Source organism: Homo sapiens, chromosome 10 (genome assembly GCF_000001405.40).
Source record: "Homo sapiens chromosome 10, GRCh38.p14 Primary Assembly".
Taxonomy (NCBI): domain Eukaryota; kingdom Metazoa; phylum Chordata; class Mammalia; order Primates; family Hominidae; genus Homo; species Homo sapiens.
In genome coordinates, this window is record NC_000010.11 from 102956619 (window position 1) to 102975771 (window position 19153).

Here is a 19153-nt window from a genome sequence, read left to right on the forward strand (position 1 = left end):
ACCATCGAATACTGTGCAGCCATAAAAAAGGATGAGTGCATGTCCTTTGCAGGGACGTGGATGAAGCTGGAAACCATCATTCTGAGCAAACTATCACAAGCACAGAAAACCAAACACTGCATGTTCTCACTCATAGGTGGGAATTGAACAATGAGAACACTTGGACACAGGGCGGGGAACAACACACACTGGGGCCTGTCATGTGGTGGGGGGCAGGGGGAGGGATAGCATTGGGAGAAATACCTAATGTAAATACCTAATGTAAACGACGAGTTAATGGGTGTAGCAAACCAACATGGCACATGTATACCTATGTAACAAACCTGCACGTTGTGCACGTGTACCCTAGAACTTAAAAGTATAGTAATAATAATAATTTTTTTAAAAAAGATGGTAAGATTGGCTGGGCACGGTGGCTCATGCCTGTAATCCCAGCACTTTGGGAGGCTGAGGCAGGCAGATCACTTGAGGTCAGGAGTTCGAAACCAGCCTGGCCAACATGGTGAAACCCCGTCTCTACTAAAAATACCAAAAAAATTAGCCAGGCATGGTGGCAGGTGCCTGTAATCCCAGCTACTTGGGAGGCTGAGGCAGGAGAATCGCCTTGTACCTGGGAGGCGGAGGTTGCAGTGAGCCGAGATTGCACCACTGCACTCCAGCCTGGGCAACAGAGCGAGACTCCGTCTCAAAAAAATAATAATAAATAAAAAAGATGATAAGATTTCAGCTGGTGGAGATAGGACTAGGAGAGGCCATTTCTCCTTGAGGGGATGGGAAAGCAAAGGTGAAGATGAGAGAACAATGGGAGTGGGGCTGGAAACGTAAATTGGTTTAGAAGGGAAAGTTTTTGAGTGCTAGGATAAGTGATTTGAACTCTATGCACTAGGTAATTACATTTTCATTAACATTTATCAAGAATCTATTAAGCTAAGTCACTGTTTTTAATGTTAAGAAATCAAAGAATTGTTTTTATAGTTGTCCGACTTTTCACCAAAGACAGCACCTTTCATAACCTTTATCTCAGGATTCCTTCCACGTCCAAGGTCCTGACTTTTGTCCTTGGAATTAAGCCCTAATAGGAGAGAACCATCTTTTTAAGACATTGACTGATTTCTCTGTTTAATTTTGATGCAGTTTAACACCATCTAATATAATCTGCCATTTTGAGCTATGTTAGGCTGGTAGATCGCTTACCTGGGCATTACTTGTTTGCTTCTCTGGAATCCTTAAAAGGATCACAATATAGAATATAGTACTAAAGGGCAGTTGCTGTGGGAGAGTTGGAAGTGCTGAGTTGTGGGATATTTCAGAAGCTCTACTTTTTCTTTTTTCTTTGAGATGGAGTTTTGCTCTTGTCGCCCAGGCTGGAGTGCAGTGGCACGATCTTGGCTCACTGCAACCTCCGCCTCCTGGGTTCAAGCGATTTTCCTGCCTCAGCATCCTGAGTAGCTGGGATTACAGGCATGTGCCACCACACCCGGCTAATTTTGTATTTTTAGTAGAGACGGGGTTTCTCCATGTTGGTCAGGCTGATCTCGAACTCCCGACCTCAGGTGATCCGCCCGCCTTAGCCTCCCAAAGTGCTGGGATTACAGGTGTGAGCCACTGCGCCCGGCCTGAGCCACTGCACCTGGCCTGTTTTTTCTAACTGTGTTGAATAATTTGGGATTCCTCTCTACCCTTAGTTTCAAAAAGCAATATTGTGCAGAAAGCAAATGAAGTCAAGTGAATATGATTTGAAGTTGGACGGTTTTTGGTATGTCTTCATCTTTTAAAACCATCCTCTTTTCCAATATAAACTGTTGAGTCTGAATTGACTTGTTCTGAATTCAAGCAACTTGTTTTTTTTTTTTTTTTTTTTTTTTTTTTTTGAGATGGAGTCTCATCTGTCACCCAGGCTGGAGTGCAGTGGCGTGATCTTGGCTTGCTGCAACCTCCGCCTCCCAGGTTCAGGCGATTCTCCTGCCTCAGCCTCCTGAGTAGCTGGGATTACAGGTGCATGCCACCACGCCCAGCTAATTTTTGTATTTTTAATAGAGACGGGGTTTCACTATATTGCCAGGCTGATCTCAAACTCCTGATCTCAGGTGATCTACATGCCTTGGCCTCCCAAAGTGCTGGGATTATAGGTGTGAGCCACTGTGCCTGGCCTTGTATTTGTTTTTAATCAACTAGGACTTTGTGCTTTGGTTTGTGATAGCTATTTCAGTTTGGTGCTTTAAAAAACCCTCTTTTAAATGATGGCCAGAAGTTAGTGGGTGCTTTCAGATTGTGAGGCAGGATAGTTATCCAGGTTTTGGCAGTTTCAAGTGAGATCATTTTATTTTATTTATTATTCTTATTTTTTGAGACAGGGTCTTGCTGTGTCACCCAGGCTGGAGTTAAGTGGCACAGTCATGGCTCACTGCAGCCTCAACCTCCTGGGCTCAAGTGGTCCTTCTGCCTCAGCCTCACGACTAGCTGGGATCACCACACCTGGCTAATTTTTGTATTTTTTGTAGAGATGAGGTTTTACCATGTTGCCTAGGCTGGTCTCAAACTCCTGGGCTCAAGCGATCACCCGCCTTAGTCTCCCAAAGTGCTGATTACAGGCCTCGGCCACTGTGCCTGGCTCATTTTATTTATTATATGCCACATTTACCCATATAACTACACGTGAAAAGTGAACCGAGTACTTCTATTCAGGAGGGATTCTCAAGCTTTTTGTAGAAGAGTAAATGGTGTTGTGCTTGTAACCCAGGAAGCTGCAGTCTGTATCTGGTCTATATCTGGAATATTTGCTGTAGTTAACACTCTCAGTCTGGTTGTTATTGAAGACAATGCAAATGTCCCATTCTCAGTAAAAGTGTGAGCCTTGATATCAGACATCTGGCTTTGAATTCTGGCTCCTTTGCTTAATAGCTGCATAACACCAGGAAAGTTACTTTAGCTTATCTGTAAGCCTCAGCTTCCTCATCTTTTTGTTTGTTTGCTTTAGAGACAGGGTCTTGCTCTGTCACCCAAGCTGGGGTGCAGTGATGTGAACATGGCTGACTGCAGCCTTGAACTTCTGGGCTCAAGGAATCCTCCTGCAGTGGCTTCCCAGTGTGCTAGGATTACAGGCATGCGCCACTGCAGCTGGCCAGCTTCCTCATCTTTAAAATGAGAATAGTGGCTGGGTGTGGTGGCTCACACCTGTAATCCCAGCACTTTGGGAGGCCAAGGAGGGTGGATTACGAGGTCAGGAGATCGAAACCATCCTGGCTAACATGGTGAAACCCCGTCTCTACTAAAAATACAAAAAATTAGCCGGGCATGGTGGCAGGCACCTGTAGTCCCAGCTACTCAGGAGACTGAGGCAGGAAAATGGTGTGAACCCGGGAGGTGGAGCTTGCAGTGAGCCGAGATCACACCACCCCACTCCAACCTGGGCGACAGAGCAAGACTCTGTCTCAAAAAAATAAAAAATAAATAAATAAATAAATAAATAAAATGAGAATAGTAATAATCTCTCCTAGGGTCATGAAAGGGCGAAATGAAATAATCCATGTGAAGAGCTCAGCACAGTGCCTGACGCATGCTACGTGCCCAGGAAAAGTAGTTTTTGAAAAACGCTGATTTTCTATTTGCACTTTATTGAAAACTTGGTGGATGCTTTGAATACTGAGAATTTCATTACCACTTTTTCAGTTCTAATGTGCATACTGTTGTACACTGGTACCTACTGTGCAGATCATGACTGAAAGGTGTTTGAAAGGACAGTATTGTGAAATCTTTTGTCATTACGTTAATGTTATTGCAATAAAATAACAAATTTTTAACTATTAAAAGTAATGCCATCTGTTTTTCTTCATCTGTGTTTTCACCACAAAGAGATAAAACTACTGTTGACATTTTGACATATCTTTTTTCCTCCAGTGCGTATTTATTTATCTTTTTAAAATTTATTTTTAACATAATTGAGATTACACCGGGTTGTAATTTTTGTTATGTCTTAAATTCAACAGAATTTTATTTTATTACTTTACTTTGTTTTTTGAGACAAGACCTCACTTTGTTGCCTATGCTGGAGTGCAGTGGCGTGTGATCATGGCTCACTGTGGCCTTGACCTCCCAGGCTCAAGCTATCCTCCCGCCTCAGCCTCCCGAGTAGCTGAGACTGTAGGTATGTGCCACCATACCTGGCTTTTTTTTTTTTTTTTTTTTTGAGATGGAGTCCTGCTCCGTCGCCCAGGTGGAGCGCAGTGGCATGATCTTGGCTTACTACAACCTCCGCCTCCTGAGTTCAAGTGATTCTCTGTTTTTTTTTTTTTGAGACAGAGTTTCGCTCTTGTTGTCCAGGCTGGAGTGCAATGGTGAGATCTTGGCTCACTCCAACCTCCGGTTTCTCTTGCCTCAGCCTCCCAAGTAGCTGGGATTACAGGCACGCACCACCACACCTAGCTAATTTTTGTATCTTCAGTAGATACGGGGTTTCACCGTGTTGGCCAGGCTGGTCTTGAACTCCTGACCTCAAGTGATCCAGCCGCCTCAGCCTCCCAAAGTGCTGGGATTACAGGTGTGAGCCACCATACCTGGTTCAACAGAATTTTAAATAAGGCTGCACAGAAATATCCCATCAGATGGATCTTACCTCTGCGTTGTCATTCTCCATCAAATAATGTAACCTAAACCAGATAACACCATGCTCTGGTAATGTATCGTTGAGTAATTTGATTCTGCTGTCTTAACTGATACTTAAGCCTTCATCATGAGCCAAGAGATAGCTCTCATTTATGAGATGAAGCTGAGAATATGAAAAGAAAGAGGATTTACTTATGCTCAAAAATTTACTCTATTTTTGGCAATGCTCAGGCTATTTCTCTAGTAATTCACTTGAAGCACATGTCTTATAGAAATAAATATTTACATTTTTACAGAGGAAGAAATTAATGAAATGCTTTTCCTGTAAAATGGGGAATTTTACATTGTTTTTGGCTACTAGATTTAATATAGTGTGACTAGCTTAGCATTTTAATTATAAAATTTCAAAATTAGGTTAAATTATGTGAAACTCTTGTTTTGAAAATATCACTCTTTCTTTGCAGTAGTTAATCTGAGAATAGTCAAATGGATTTTGTCATGGTGTAGGATAAGGTCACTTAGAACCAGCTGAAAATTTTACAAAGTTTTAAAAAAGGAGGCTGGGTGCAGTGGCTCACACCTGTAATCCCAGCAGTTTGAGAGGCTGAGGCAGGAGGATCACATGAGCCCAGAAGTTTGAGACCAGCCTGGGCAACAAAGCGATACTCCAATCTCTAAAAACATTAAATTAAATATTAAAAAAAAATAAGAAAGGTTGTCTAACGATACTTATAAAAAACAAACTTATGACTTGAAATAAGGCACTTACTTTTTTTAAAATGAAGAAAAATTCTACCTTGGTAATAAGAGAAGTGCAAATTAAAACAGCAAGATACCAGCTTTTGTGTAACAAATTAGCAAAAAAAAAATTTTAATGGTAAAATTCAGTGTTGAAATGAGGACACATGGACAAAGGGTGGGGAACAACACACACTGGGGCCTGTCCCGGGGGGTGGTGGGGTAGGGAGAGCATCAGGATACATAGCTAATGCATGCGGGGCTTAATATCTAAGGTGATGGGTTGATTTGTGCAGCAAACCACCATGGCACAAGTTTACCTGTGTAACCAACCTGCACATCCTGCACATATATCCTGGAAACGTAAAATAAAATTAAATTTAAAAAATGATTAAAGAAACATTCAGCATTGACCTGGGTATGAGGAGGTGGGTGCTATCACTGTGAGTGGGAATTGACACACCCTTTCTGGTAAATGCTTTTGTTTGGGATTCTTGTGATTATACTCCTAGTAGTCAACTTTCCTGAGGGCATGGTCTAACTCAGACACAGAGACATTTATCAAAGCATTATTCATACTAGAAAAATAGCAGAAACAATTCAAATGTTCAACAAAAGGAGAATAGTTAAGTCAATTTCAACATATCCAAATAATGAAATATTACATAGCTATTAAATAATGCTTTCAAAGCATAATTAACAACTTGGGAGAATTCTCACAATATGATATACTGTGTGTGTGTGTGTGTGTGTGTGTGTGTGTGTGTGTGTGTATTGTAGTATACCTATTTTACCATCAATATCTTTGCATAGAATAATTTTTAAAAGACTAAGGAGAAACAAAATGTGCTTTCAGATTTTTCCAAAATTTCTTCCGTGAGCATTTATCCTATAATCAGAAAGAAGTGAATAAACATTAGTGTAAAATAATGATTTTAAACAAATGGCCATGGTAGTTCACTTCAAATGGCTGGAGTTTTACTGTATGGATCACAACATATTGTACTTAATGGAAAAACTATTACTAGGAGCCATTCATTTTTTAAAATGACACATTATGTGTAGGTACATTTTCACATTTAGATGGGCAAAATTAAGTCCTGAGAGCTTGCATCTGAAATCATATGGCCAATCAGTTTAAGCGAACTCTAAACTTCTTTGATGAGAACTTTGGCACAATTTCATCAATTCTAGGAAAACACTTCTGCAGTACTTAATAAGTGATATGAGTAAGTAAAATGGGAAGAGGACTAAGTAAGTAGTTCCAAAAAGAGAAACCTTTTAAAAATGGAAAAAGGACAAACTTCCCTGTCCTTGACTTCTTCCCCTTCACCACCACCCCCTTTCCTTGGCCTAACTGGAACGCACAGTCACATTAAGTGATGCCTTGCCCTTTGACTGACTCTCTCAGTAAAAGTTCAGATAGCCATCTAGTGGAAAGAAGACTCTTTAAGAATGACTTTCCTCCAGACACCCAATATCATGTTTGTTCAGTTGGCTTGTCCAAACAATTTTTCTGTGTTTTCACCAGAGTAGTATCAACTTAGCATGAAGATTAAAGCTGTTCTCCATCTGCTTTATCTGCCGTTCTTAATTAGAACCTGATGACAGAAATCAACTTTGATTCAAGGCTGATTGTTCCCGGAGAATCTCATTATTATTGTAAACAGTTTTTATTTTTCTTTCTTTTTTTTTATTAAACACATTGATTCTGAGCATCTATATGGCAGAAGTGAGGGTAAAAAAATAATTTTCTTCATTTAATCGTGTATTCAGCATCTGCTCTGCTAGATGCCGTGGGGCATATTGAAGTTGCTTAAAGTCTGGTAGAGAAGATAAAGCATGCACAGAAATAGTTTTTAATACAAACTTGAGGTGATAAGTGCCCAAAGGGACAGGCACAATGTATGTGGAAATTCAGAGGAGCAGTTATTTCTCGTTAAGGAATCGTGTTTTCTGAGTTTTCTTTTAGAAATTAAACAGATGTGCATTGTTCTGATGGACTGAAAAAAAGAGAAACAAATGGTCCCTTGCTTTCACACTTTATTTTACTTTATGAGAAATTAAGAGGCAAATGTTTGTATATCAATCCCTTAGGCAAGTAATGGACTTTAGAGTGCCTTAATGGTTTTCAAAAAATAGTCTACAAATATTAAGTCTACACTCAGAGTCTGCAGTCTACCAACTTTAATGAAATGTAATTTTATGCATAACATAAAGTAATATTAAAAATTACTTGTAGAAATAGTTAATTGGGCTAATTAGATATTCTTTTTTTTTTTTTCTTTGAGATGGAGTCTTGCTGAGTCACCCAGGCTGGAGTGCAGTGGCACCATCTCGGCTCACTGCAGCCTCCACCTCCCAGGTTCAAGTGATTCTCCTGTCTCAGGCTCCCGAGTAGCTGGGACTACAGGTGTGTGCCACCACATCTAGCTTATTTTTGTATTTTTAGTGGAGACAGGGTTTCACTGTGTTGGCCAGGCTGATCTTAAACTCCTGACCTTAAGTGATTCACCCGCTTCGGCCTCCGAAAGAGCTGGGGTCACACTCATGAGCCACTGCGCCTGGCTAGATATTCTTAATGGGCAAATTGGGAGCCTAGTCTTGGCATCAGGTGTCCTGTATTTAATCAGTTGGCAGAGCTAGTTACCTGGACCACCTACTCAGCCTAGGAGGTGCTGTGATACAGCAGAGAAGACATAAACTTGGGCTCTGCTACTTGGTAGCTTTGGGCCTTGGTAAGTTTTACTTTGTCTTTCTATTCCTTGGTCTTCTCATCTTTAAAACACCTCCTAGGATTCTTGTTAGGATTAAATGAAATACTATATGTTGCTTTGATTTGAGTGGATCCCCTCCAAAATTAACCTGTTGAAACTTAATGGCTAACGTGATAGTGTTAAGCGAGGGGGTTGCCTTTAAGAGGGAGTTAAGGCCATGAGGGCTTCTCCCTCATGAAAGTGATTGAAGCCCTCATAAAAGAGGCTTCACTCAGCACTTGGCCCTCCTACTCTTCTGCCCTCTGCGGTGTGAAGACACAGCGTTCCTCCCCTCCAGAGGATGCAAGGCGCCATCTTGGAGGCAGAGACCGTGCCCCTCACCAGACACTCAGCCTGCCCGCGCCTTGATCTTAGACTTCCCAGCCTCCAGAACTGTGAGAAATAAATTTCTCTTCTTTACAAATTACCCATTCTGTGGTATTCTGCTATAGCAGTACAAACTGACCAAGACATATATGAAGCACCTGACACACAGCTCTCTATAAATAATGCTTCTTCCCTGCTCTGTCTTGACTTGTTTGAAGGATCAGCAGTTAACAATGAACAGTTTAAAATGATCTCAGTATTCTTTCTTTTTCCTCTTGAGGGTGAACCTCTTAAATTGGGCTGGCTTATAGTTCCTAAAATCACAGCTGTTTGATATAGACGGGGGATTATTTGAAAGTCTGAGTCAAAGACGAGAAGTAGGAAATCAGTTTTTCCCCGGCTGTCGTTGTGCGCCTCCTTCCAGGGGAGTAATCAGCTCAGACTATCTCAATAGTTAATACTTGCTGTTCTACTCAAAATTGAACTCACTAAAATCTCAGTGATTTCTTCATTGAAGATTGCCAGTAGATGGCTTTTAATTCCCTGTAGTGTCTGCTTTACTGTTTTCATGCTTGTTTTTCTAAAGTCTTGAGTCAGCGTCTTTATCCTTATCAGTGTTTGGCCTTTGTCTACTCTATCTCTGTAAATCATTTGTAGGAGGGTTAAATTCCATCTGACGCAAATTGTGATTTTAAAAATAAATTGCTTTGTCCTACCATCTCTGAAAATAAAAGCAGATAATTTTCCTAAGTCACTTATTTAAGAAGTAGCACAAGCTAAATGCCAACCACTTGAAGTTGTAGACTTGCTAGACTTTTTTAAGCTTCAAGGTCTCTGTGTTTTCTGTTTCAGGTAAAAATGGTCAGGACTAAACAGTTCTTCAGGGGAAAAAAAAAATAGGGTCTTTGTCACAGCTGAGTCTTCATCTTAACCAAGATTTTTGCCAGAAAGCCTTTCCTTCTCTTGGAATTTTATGCTGGTTGAAATTTGGGTTTAGTTGAAGTATAAGGAGCTGTATTTCCTTATGTCTGGTTAAGTTCCACTGTCTTTTCCACTTGCAGATTTTATATTCAGTTGTCAAATTTGCTTGTGCTCAGCATTGAACGTGATTTCTGTACTTGTATGATTAAACTGGAAAAATCTGGAATAAATAAACTGGAATAAATAAACTAGAACTGTTTTCTGAAATTGGAAGGGATTTAGATAATGGTTTGATGGATGGAGGAGGAGTGAAAGGTGGGTTAGTATGAATTTTAAAAGTTTAGATTTTTGCCACTGTTCATGCTAATGTAAAAAAGGATCTTGTTGGCCTGGCGTGTGGCTCATGCCTGTAATCCCAGCACTTTGGGAGGCTGAGGTGGGCAGACATCTGAGGTCAGGAGTTTGAGGCCAGCCTGGCCAACATGGCGAAACCCCATCTCTACTAAATATACAAAACAGCCGGGCTGGGTGGCAGGCACCTGTAATCCTAGCTACTCAGGAGGCTTAGGCAGGAGAATTGCTTGAACCTGGGAGACGGAGGCTGCAGTGAGTCGAGATCGCACCATTGCACTCCAGCCTGGGCAACAGAGCGTGGACTCCATCCCAACCTAAAAGGATCTTGTTTAAATGGTGCCTATTCCCTGTAGATTTTGTAGCTTGGTATTACAAATATTTATTTAGTGCCTGCTATATGTAGGATGTAATATAAAATAGATTAATAACATGGTCCTTTCCTCAAGGAATTGTCATGGAATTAGGAGGTGGGAATAAAGGAGACGAAGATACATGTGCTGAGTGCAAAGCTCAGGGAAGATTGAAAATATGCAGTCTCCTTGGGAGTGAGGTGGGATGAGGAGTGGGGCAGGATATAAATGAAGTTTCTAGGAGGAGGTACTTAATTAAGGCACAGAATCATGGAAGTGTCTGGAAGAATGCAGAGAGCTATGAGCAATCTGGTAGGTCCATGGGGCTACCTGGGGTCTGGTGTGATCCAGCTCACTTTAGCCTCGAATTTCTGGGCTCAGAGGATCCTCCCATGTCAGCCTCCCCAGTATCTGGGATTACAGGTGCATGCCAACATACTTCGCTACGTTTTTTAAAAAATTTCTTTTAGAGATAGGGGTCTTGCTGTGTTGCCCAGGATGGTCTTGAACTCCTGGCCACAAACAGTCCTCCCACCTCAGCCTCCTGAGTAGCTGGGATTATAGGTGGGAGCCACTGTGCCTGGCCTCCTTTCTCCTCCTAAACTGGTTTTATTGAGGTATAATTTACATACCATAAAACCCACCCATGTAAGCATACAATCCAGTGATTTGTAAAAGTAAATTTATAGAGTTGGGAATTGCCACCTCAACCCAGTTTTAGAACACTGCTTTGTCCCTGGAAGTTTCCTTTCTTCTGGGTCAATCCCTGCTTTCATCTCCAGCCTCTGGCAAACACTGTTATGCTTTCTGTCTCTATAGATTTGACTTTTCTAGAAATTTCCTATAAAAGGAATCATAGGTAGTCTTTTTTGTTTGGCTACTTTCACTTAGCAAAATGTTTTTGAGGCTCAGCCATGGTGTAGCATGTATAAGTTGTTTGTTCCTTTATGCCGATTAATTGTATTTGATTGCATGGATATACCACATTCTGTTACCCATTTGCTAGTTGATGGGCATTTGTATTGTGTCCAGGTTTAGGCTGTTATTAATAACGCTCCAAGGCTGGGCGCGGGAGCTCATGCCTGTAATCCCAGCACTTTGGGGGGCCGAGGCGGGCGGATCACCTGAGGTCAGGAGTTCCTGCCCAGACTGGCCAACATGGTGAAACCCCGTCTCTACTAAAAATACAAAGTTAGCCAGGCATGGTGGCAAGTGCCTGTAATCCCAGCTACGTGGGAGGCTGAGGCAGGAGAATCGCTTGAACCTGGGAGGCGGAGGTGGCAATGAGCTGAGATTGTGTCACTGTGCTCCAGCCTGAGCGACACAGTGAGACTCTGTCTCAAAATAATAATTCCCTGTGGGCACTTGCATGAAGTCTTTGTGTGGACATGTTTTCATTTCTCTTGTGGAGATACTTAAGAGTGAAGTTTCTGGGTCATATAGTAAGAATATATATATATTTTACTTTTCAAGAAGCTGCCAAACTGTTCTCCAACTTGGCTGTATGTACCATTTTACAACCAGCAATGTCTGAGGGTTTTGGTTTTTCCACATCTTTTTGTTGTTGTTGTTGTTGTTGTTTTGTTTTGTTTTTGTTTGAGACGGAGTCTGGCTCTGTCACCTAGGCTGGAGTGCAATGGCGCAATCTCGGCTGACTGTAACCTCTGCCTCCTGGGTTCAAGTGATTCTCCTGCCTTAGCCTCCCAAGTAGCTGGGACTACAGGTGCCCAGCACCAAGCCCGGCTAATTTTTGTATTTTTAGTAGAGACAGGGTTTCACCATATTGACCAGGCTTGTCTCGAACTCCTAACCTTGTGATCTGCCCGCCTTGGCCTCCCAAAGTGCTGGGATTACAGATGTGAGCCACCCAACCTGGTTATTTTCCACATCTTTGTCAACACTTGGCATGTGAGTTATAACCATGCTACTGGGAGTGTAGTGCTTTTTTTTTTTTTTCTTTGAGACAGGGTCTTGCTCTGCCTCAGGCTGGTCAGTGGTGCGATTATAGCTCATTGCAACCTTGACCTCTGTGGCTCAAGTGATCCTTCCGCCTCATTGCACTGAGTAGCTGGGACTACATACAGGTGCACGCCACCATGCCAGGCTAATTTTTTTGTAGAGACAGCATCTGACTATGTTGCCTAGTCTGGTCTCAAACTCCTGGGCTCAAGCAATATTCTTGCCTTGGCTTCTCAAAGTGCTGGGGTTACAGGCATGAGCCACTTGTGCCCAGCCAGTGCTGTCTTTTTTTTTTTTTTTTTTTTTGAGACAGGGTCTCACTCTGTCACCCAGGCTAGAATGCAGTGGAATGATCTTGGCTTACTGCAGTCTCCACCTCCTGGGCTCAAGTAATCCTCCCACTTAAACTTTCCGAGTAGCTGGGATTACAGGTGTGCACCACCATGCCTGGCTAATTTTTTCTATTTTTTGTAGAGACAGGGATTTGCCATGTTGTCCAGGCTAGTTTTGAACTCCTGGGCTCAAGTGATATGCCCACCTCAGCCTCCCAAAGTGCTGGGACTACAGGCATGAGCCACTGCACTGCGCCTAGTAGTGCTTTTTTTTGAGGCGGAGTCTCGCCCTGTCGCCCAGGTTGGAGTGCAATGGGGCAATCTCAACTCACTGAAATCTCCGCCTCTGGGGTTCAAACGATTCTCCTGCCTCAGCCTCCCGAGTAGCTAGAATTACAGGTGCCTGCCACCACGCCTAGCTAATTTTTGTATTTTTAGTAGGGACGGGGTTTCACCATGTTGGCCAGGCTGGTCTCGAACTCGTGACCTTGTGATTTGCCCGCCTCGGCCTCCCAAAGTGCTGGGATTACAGGCGTGAGCCACCATGCCCAGCCAGTAGTGCTATCTTAGTTGTAGTTTTGCTTTGTATTTCTCCACCGACTGGCAGTCTTTTAATATTGTAAATTATTTCGGCTATTTCAGAAAACACTACTCTATAATAGCGGCAATTGGTGTTGTGGTTCACTGTTTTGTTTGTTTTCTTGAGGCGGAGTTTTGCTCTTTGTTGCCCAGGCTGGAGTGCAGTGTTGCGATCTCAGCTCACCGCAACCTCTGCCTCTGGGTTCAAGTGATTCTCCTGCCTCAGCCTCCCGAGTAGCTGGGATTACAGGCGTGCACCACCACGCCTGGCTAATTTTGTATTTTTAGTGGAGACGGGGTTTCTCCATGTTGGTCAGGCTGGTCTCAAGCTCCTGACCTCAGGTGATCCGCCCACCTCGGCCTCCCAAAGTGCTGGGATTACAGGTATGAGCCACCGTGCCTGCCTTATTAACTGTATTTTTTTCTAAAGCTCTTGAAAGAATTTTTGTATGTGAAGAATCCAGACACTATTTTATTAGAGACTCTTTGCTTACTTATTTTTACTCTTTCTTTTTGAGATTTGTAAAATTATCCTCTGATATAAACTACCTGTGGCCTGCCACCTGCTTTTGTATGCCCCAGGAGTAAAGAATTTTATTTTTAAATGGTCGAAAGTAAAAGAATACTATTTTAGCCAGGTGTGGTGGTGCATACTTATGGTCCCAGCTACTTGGGAGGTTGAGGTGGGAGGATTGTTTGAGCTGAGGAGTTTGAGGCTGCAGTAGCCATGATTGTGCCCCTGCACTCCAGTCTGGGCAACAGCATGAAATGCTGTCTTGAAAATAATTGTGATATGTGAAAATTACATGAAATTCAAATTTCAGTGTCATAAATAAATTTTGATTGGAATACAGCCATGCCTATTCATTTATGTGTTACCCATGTCTGCTTTTGTGCTATAAGGGCAAGAGTAGGGTAGTTTCAGTAGAGACTGTACAGCCTGCGTAGCCTAAAATACTTACTGCCTGGCTCTTTACAGAAAGTTTGCCCACCCTGGCTCTCACCCATTCCAGATGTTGCCTATTCTCAGAAAAAAATTTGCTATTGACTTGTCCTTTTGGTTCAGTTCCTTTTTTAGAGATAGGGTCTCACAATGTTGCCCAGGCTGAAGTAGAGTGGCTGTTCACAGGCACAGTACCAGTACTGATCAGCATGGGAATTTTGACCTGCTCTGTTTCCTCCCTGGGCCAGTTCACCCCCCTTCTTCAGGCATTGGTTCAGTTCTTGTGTTGGTTCTCCAGTTTGTTGTTACTGGGAAACCTGAATTCATTTCTCAAGTGTCACCCTGGAAGGGAAGAGACTTATTGAAAGATTCCTGTTTTGTAATGTGTTCTTTCCTGGCTTGGTGACTCTAGTTAAAGTTAGTCTCTGGGGCTTGGTGTGGTGGCTCATGCCTATAATCCCAACACTTTGGGAGGCCAAGGTAGGATAATCATGTGAGCCCAGGAGTTTGAGACCAGCCTGGACAAGATGGTGAGACCCTGTCTCTACAAAAAAAAAAAAAATCTAAAAATTAGCTGGTCCTGGTGGCACTTGCCTCTAGTCCTGGTTACTCAGTAGGCTGAGGTGGGAGGATCCCTTGAGCCCAGGAGTTCAAGGCTGCAGTGAGCTATGATTGTGCCATTTACACAATCCAGCCTGGGTGACAGAGTGAGACCCCATCCTTTTTTTTTTTCTGCAAACACTATGGTGACTTAGAGACCTCGTCCCTAAAAAAAAAAAAAAGAAAAAAAAAAAAGTCTCTGGGACCTTTTAAGAAAGTCACCCAGTAAACAAAGGGGAAAGAATGGTGCTTTTGTAGATGAAGGTATCACGTTAACTATTTGTGTTTGGAAAGTGATGCTGTGTAACATAGATAATTTTGTTTATTGGTTTTTTTAAGTGCCCATTATAAAATTTAAGATAATACAGAGGTATAGGAAGTCACTTACCCCCTCATTCTACTCTTACTTGTCGCCATTATTAGGAATTTATTTCCTTTTATACCTTTTTCTATGCAGATATAAACATAGCCAGTTGGGTTTTGTGGCTGTTTTTTTCAGAAATGAAACTGCAGTGTACATTTTGTTTTAAAATGAAGGTTTTTCAGAACTTGGCCCAGGGTATGGTGGCTGTGCATACCTGTAGATTTGCTGTCTTCATTTTAGCAGCTGCATGGCCTTTTTTTGTATGACTCTACCATAATCTACTTAACTGTTGATGAAGTTTAAGGTTTTTGCTTATGTAAGTAATGTCCGTGTGTTTCAGTTGGCCTTACTAACACTGGTTATATTCATCTTTAACATATTTTTCTTTTTTTGGCCTATTTGGTAAGTGAAAAATAGCTCATTGTCATAACTTGCACTTCTTCAGTGAGACTGAACATTTTCCTTATTTTAGCCACTTGTACTTCTATGAATTATCTATTGCTTATTTTTCTTTGGGTTGTTTGTGTCTTTTAATTGGTTGCAGATCTTTATATATTATAAACCCTAACTCTTAATTTGCAAATATTTCTTACAATTGATCGTTTCTTATTTATGGTGGCGTTTTTCCTTACAGAAGTCTTAGTTTTGTATGTTGTCAGATCTGTCAAACATTTATAGCTCTTGGATTTGGAGGTATGCTTGCAACGTGTTTCCATGTTTTAATATTCTAAGTGTAACTATCTTAATTCAGTGATTCCTAATCATGACTGCATCAGAATAATTTAGGGGAATTTTTTTCAGCATATATGCTGTGATTTCCAACTAAGATATTCTTTCTTCGTAGATAAAATGTGGGGTCCAAATCTGTGGAGTTTGGTTTGTTTTGTTTTGGAGAGAGGAAGAAGCTTCCTGGCCAGGCACGGTGGCTCATACCTGTAATCCCAGCACTTTGGGAGGCCGAGGCAGGCGAATCACGAGGTCAGGAGATCAAGACCATCCTGGCTAACATGGTGAAACCCTGTCTCTACTAAAAATACAAAAAAATTAGACGGGCGTGGTGGCGGGCGCCTGTAGTCCCAGCTACTCGGGAGGCTGAGGCAGGAGAAGGCGTGAACCCGGGCGGCGGAGCTTGCAGTGAGCTGAGATCGCGCCTCTGCACTCCAGCCTGGGAGACAGAGCGAGACTGTCTCAAAATAAAAAAAGCTCCCTGATTCTGATGTGAAACCCTAGTTAAAAAATCACAGTATGTAAAACAGATTTCATTGCCTCTTTCCAGTTGAGTTGTGTTTTTTTCTTTGAGAGTGTGAAGGGGGTGGTGCTGCTTGGTTCCTTTTACTTAACATTCATTGAGTTCCTGTGACACACTTGGAGAATTAGTAAGGAGAGAATTCATGCAACTGATAAGGAGAGAAACTGCTGTACATTGTACCCTTTGCTGTGCACTGTAACTGTACAATCAAGTTTCTTTATCTTGACAATTGTGTTAAACCACAAGCTATTGGCTATATTTCATTGGTTGAAAGATGCACTTTTTTTCCCCACGTTTTAACATCCATGAAACTGGGATGACAGCATGACATAGTTTATTTGGCAGCATTTTAAATTTTGTAGTATAATGGTTCATCTTAGTCAACTTGGAGAAGTTGGATAATTTTTTATCTTTCATTTTTGTATCTAAAGTACATCAGTACGGTTTTTTTTTTTCCATACTGGCCTTCATGTTCCTGAGTGGTCTCTTCTCTTCTAGTGTTTCTTTCCTTCTAATTAAGTTTTATATACTGCTGCCAGATTAATCTTCCCAGACCATGATTCTGATTAAATCACTGCTATATGCAATAACTTTTTTTTTTTGAGCTAGGGTCTCGCTCTGTTGCCCAGACTGGAATACAGTGGTGCAATTATGGCTCATTGGAGCCTCAGCCTCCCAGGCTCAAGTGATCTCCTACTTCTCAGCCTCCAGAGTAGCTGGAACTACTACAGGCAAATGCCACCACACTCAGCTAATGTGTGCAATGTGAGCCTAAAATACACTAAAACATGCATGCTTGTGCTAATTTTCTGTGTGTGTGTGTGTGTTTTTTTTTTTTTTGGTAGAGACAAGGTCTTACTATGTTGTGCCCCCAGGCTGGTCTTAAACTCCTGGGCTCAAGAGATCCACCCACCTTGGCTTCCCAGAGTACTGGGATTACAGGCATGAGCCACTGTGCCTGGCCTTATGCAGTGACTTTTAATAAGAAACAACTGTAACAGAAAGTTCAAACATTTTAATATTTCATTTTAGACCCTTTGAATGAAATATTTACCTCTTCAACCTTTTATTCTTCACATACTCCAATTTTGCATTGATAAGCTAACAGCATCTTTTCATGTATTCCCCCCCCCCCTTTTTTAAAACAACATCATCTTGTATTTACTTATTGAATCCTTATGCGGGATTGCTCCCTACCCTCTCCCCAGACCTCTGGCTGTTTGAAACCCACCTATCCTTTCTGCTCAGCTTCTGTCATTCATCCATCTCCATGCAATTGCTGCTGGTATAACAGGGGTGAAAGATAACTATTGACAAAGAACAGGGAAGTTTTTTTGGAACTCTGGGGTTTTAAGAAAGGCATTGACGTCCTTGGGAACTAGGTAATACAGTTTCCTCTCCTTTTCCTATTTTTGATTTTGGCTTTGGCTTTGTATTTGAAATTCTCTTCTTCACTTCAGATGGAGGTGTGGGAGGGGATGTGTGGGGTGTAGTATGTGTGGCCCCACAGGTAGATCACCTGATCAGTCTTTTACCCTAAACATAAGAGAGGGAAAAGCACAAAAAACAACAGCTCTAAGATGGGGCATGTACATGTCCAAATTTGAACTCAGTCATGTTTTTGTCAAACTAAGATGATGAACTAGTTATAAGATGAAGTTTGACTGGACGAATGTAGATCCTATTTTGACCATAAAGCTAGTTGCATAAGTAAGCACAGGATGATGTTGAGGGGTTTGTGGCTTAGGAGTAGCACTTAAGGACATCTGCGGAGGGCCAAATGTGAGTCCGTAGTGAGATGTGGCAACAACAAAAATAAAATCTCAGATGCATTATTGAAAGAAAAAAAGAATATCTAGAATTGGGGGAGATGATAATCCTATTTATTTTTTTTTTTGAGACAGGGTCTTGCCCTGTAGCCCAGGCTGGAGTGCAGTGGTATGATCACAGCTCACTTCAGCCCTGCCAGTAGCTGGGACTGTGGGTACACACTACTGTGCCTGGCCAACTTTTAAAATTTTTTTCATACAGGCAGGGTCTCACCATCGAGCCCAGGCTGGTCTTGAACTCCTGGGCTCAAGCAGTCCTCCCGCCTTGGCCTCCCAAAGTGCTGGGATTATAGGTATGAGCCAGCATGCCCATGAATCCTATTTTATTCTGTATTGGGGTGGACACAACTATCAAGTCTTGGTCAATTCTGGGGCACACATTTTGAAATTAGAAGCCACATACAGAAGAACAATTGAAGAAAGATCTGCTTTGGAGACATGAGAACTTGGGGCATGGGAAGCCCATAATTAGCCATCAGGATATGTAAAGGAAGAGGATTTGTACCTTGTGGTTCTAGGGAATAGAACTAAGGCCAGTGGATGGAAGCCACAGATAGAAAGACATGGCTCAATTTAAAGACTAATTTGCAGTGAGAGCTGTTTAATGATGGAGTAGAAGATGGTAAACTTCCTGTTTGTAGGAGGTTGAACAATCATTTGGCAGCTGTGTTTTAGAGGATATAAAAATGTTGAATCACTAACAAGTGTTCACTTTTCCTCATTATAAATGGAAAAGGCAAGAAACACTCAAAATTTAAATTGGCACTCATAATATACTATCATGACATAACATGTTATCAAATTTATTATTTTGCAACTGACAGTAATCACTTAGCCAGCAGATGTACTTCAGCCTTAGCATTGAATTAAGCAGAGTGGTGACAGTGAACTGGATGGTGAATTTGCTCTAGCAAGTTTACCTGAGTGGATTCTGTGGGATGGAATTAGAAAAAAAAAAAAAAAAAAACAAACCTCCACAGAGTTAAACAGCCTTTTCTCATCAGTGATACAGTGGTAAGAACCTGCAAATACATGTATGTACACTGAGAGGGCAGGAGGAACTTTATGCCAAGGTCTTCATAAGCCCAAATTAACAAATTGCCAAGTATGTCAAAACTTGTGTCTGTGTTGGCAGGACCTGTGAAGCACTCCTCTGGAACATAGTCTGCAAACCACAACACTAAGTGATTGATCTCTAAGGCCTCCTTCCAATTGTAAAATTCTTTGGTAAATGACCTTGTAATATATGC

The 19153-nt window shown here is 41.8% G+C and overlaps 1 protein-coding gene across 2 annotated transcripts in view, besides 1 other annotated feature; it reads left to right on the top strand.

Annotated features, from left to right (window-relative positions):
* The window catches only part of CNNM2 (cyclin and CBS domain divalent metal cation transport mediator 2), a 171929-nt gene that overhangs the window by 38325 nt on the left and 114451 nt on the right, over window positions 1–19153 (top strand). The gene's annotated exons all lie outside the window — the stretch shown is intronic.
* Window positions 16121–16321: a silencer, noted in NCBI's record as "peak1082 fragment used in MPRA reporter construct". NCBI's record gives its function as "represses an SCP1 promoter by STARR-seq MPRAs in K562 erythroleukemia cells {active_cell/tissue: K562}" and the evidence as "EXISTENCE:reporter gene assay evidence [ECO:0000049][PMID:32103011]".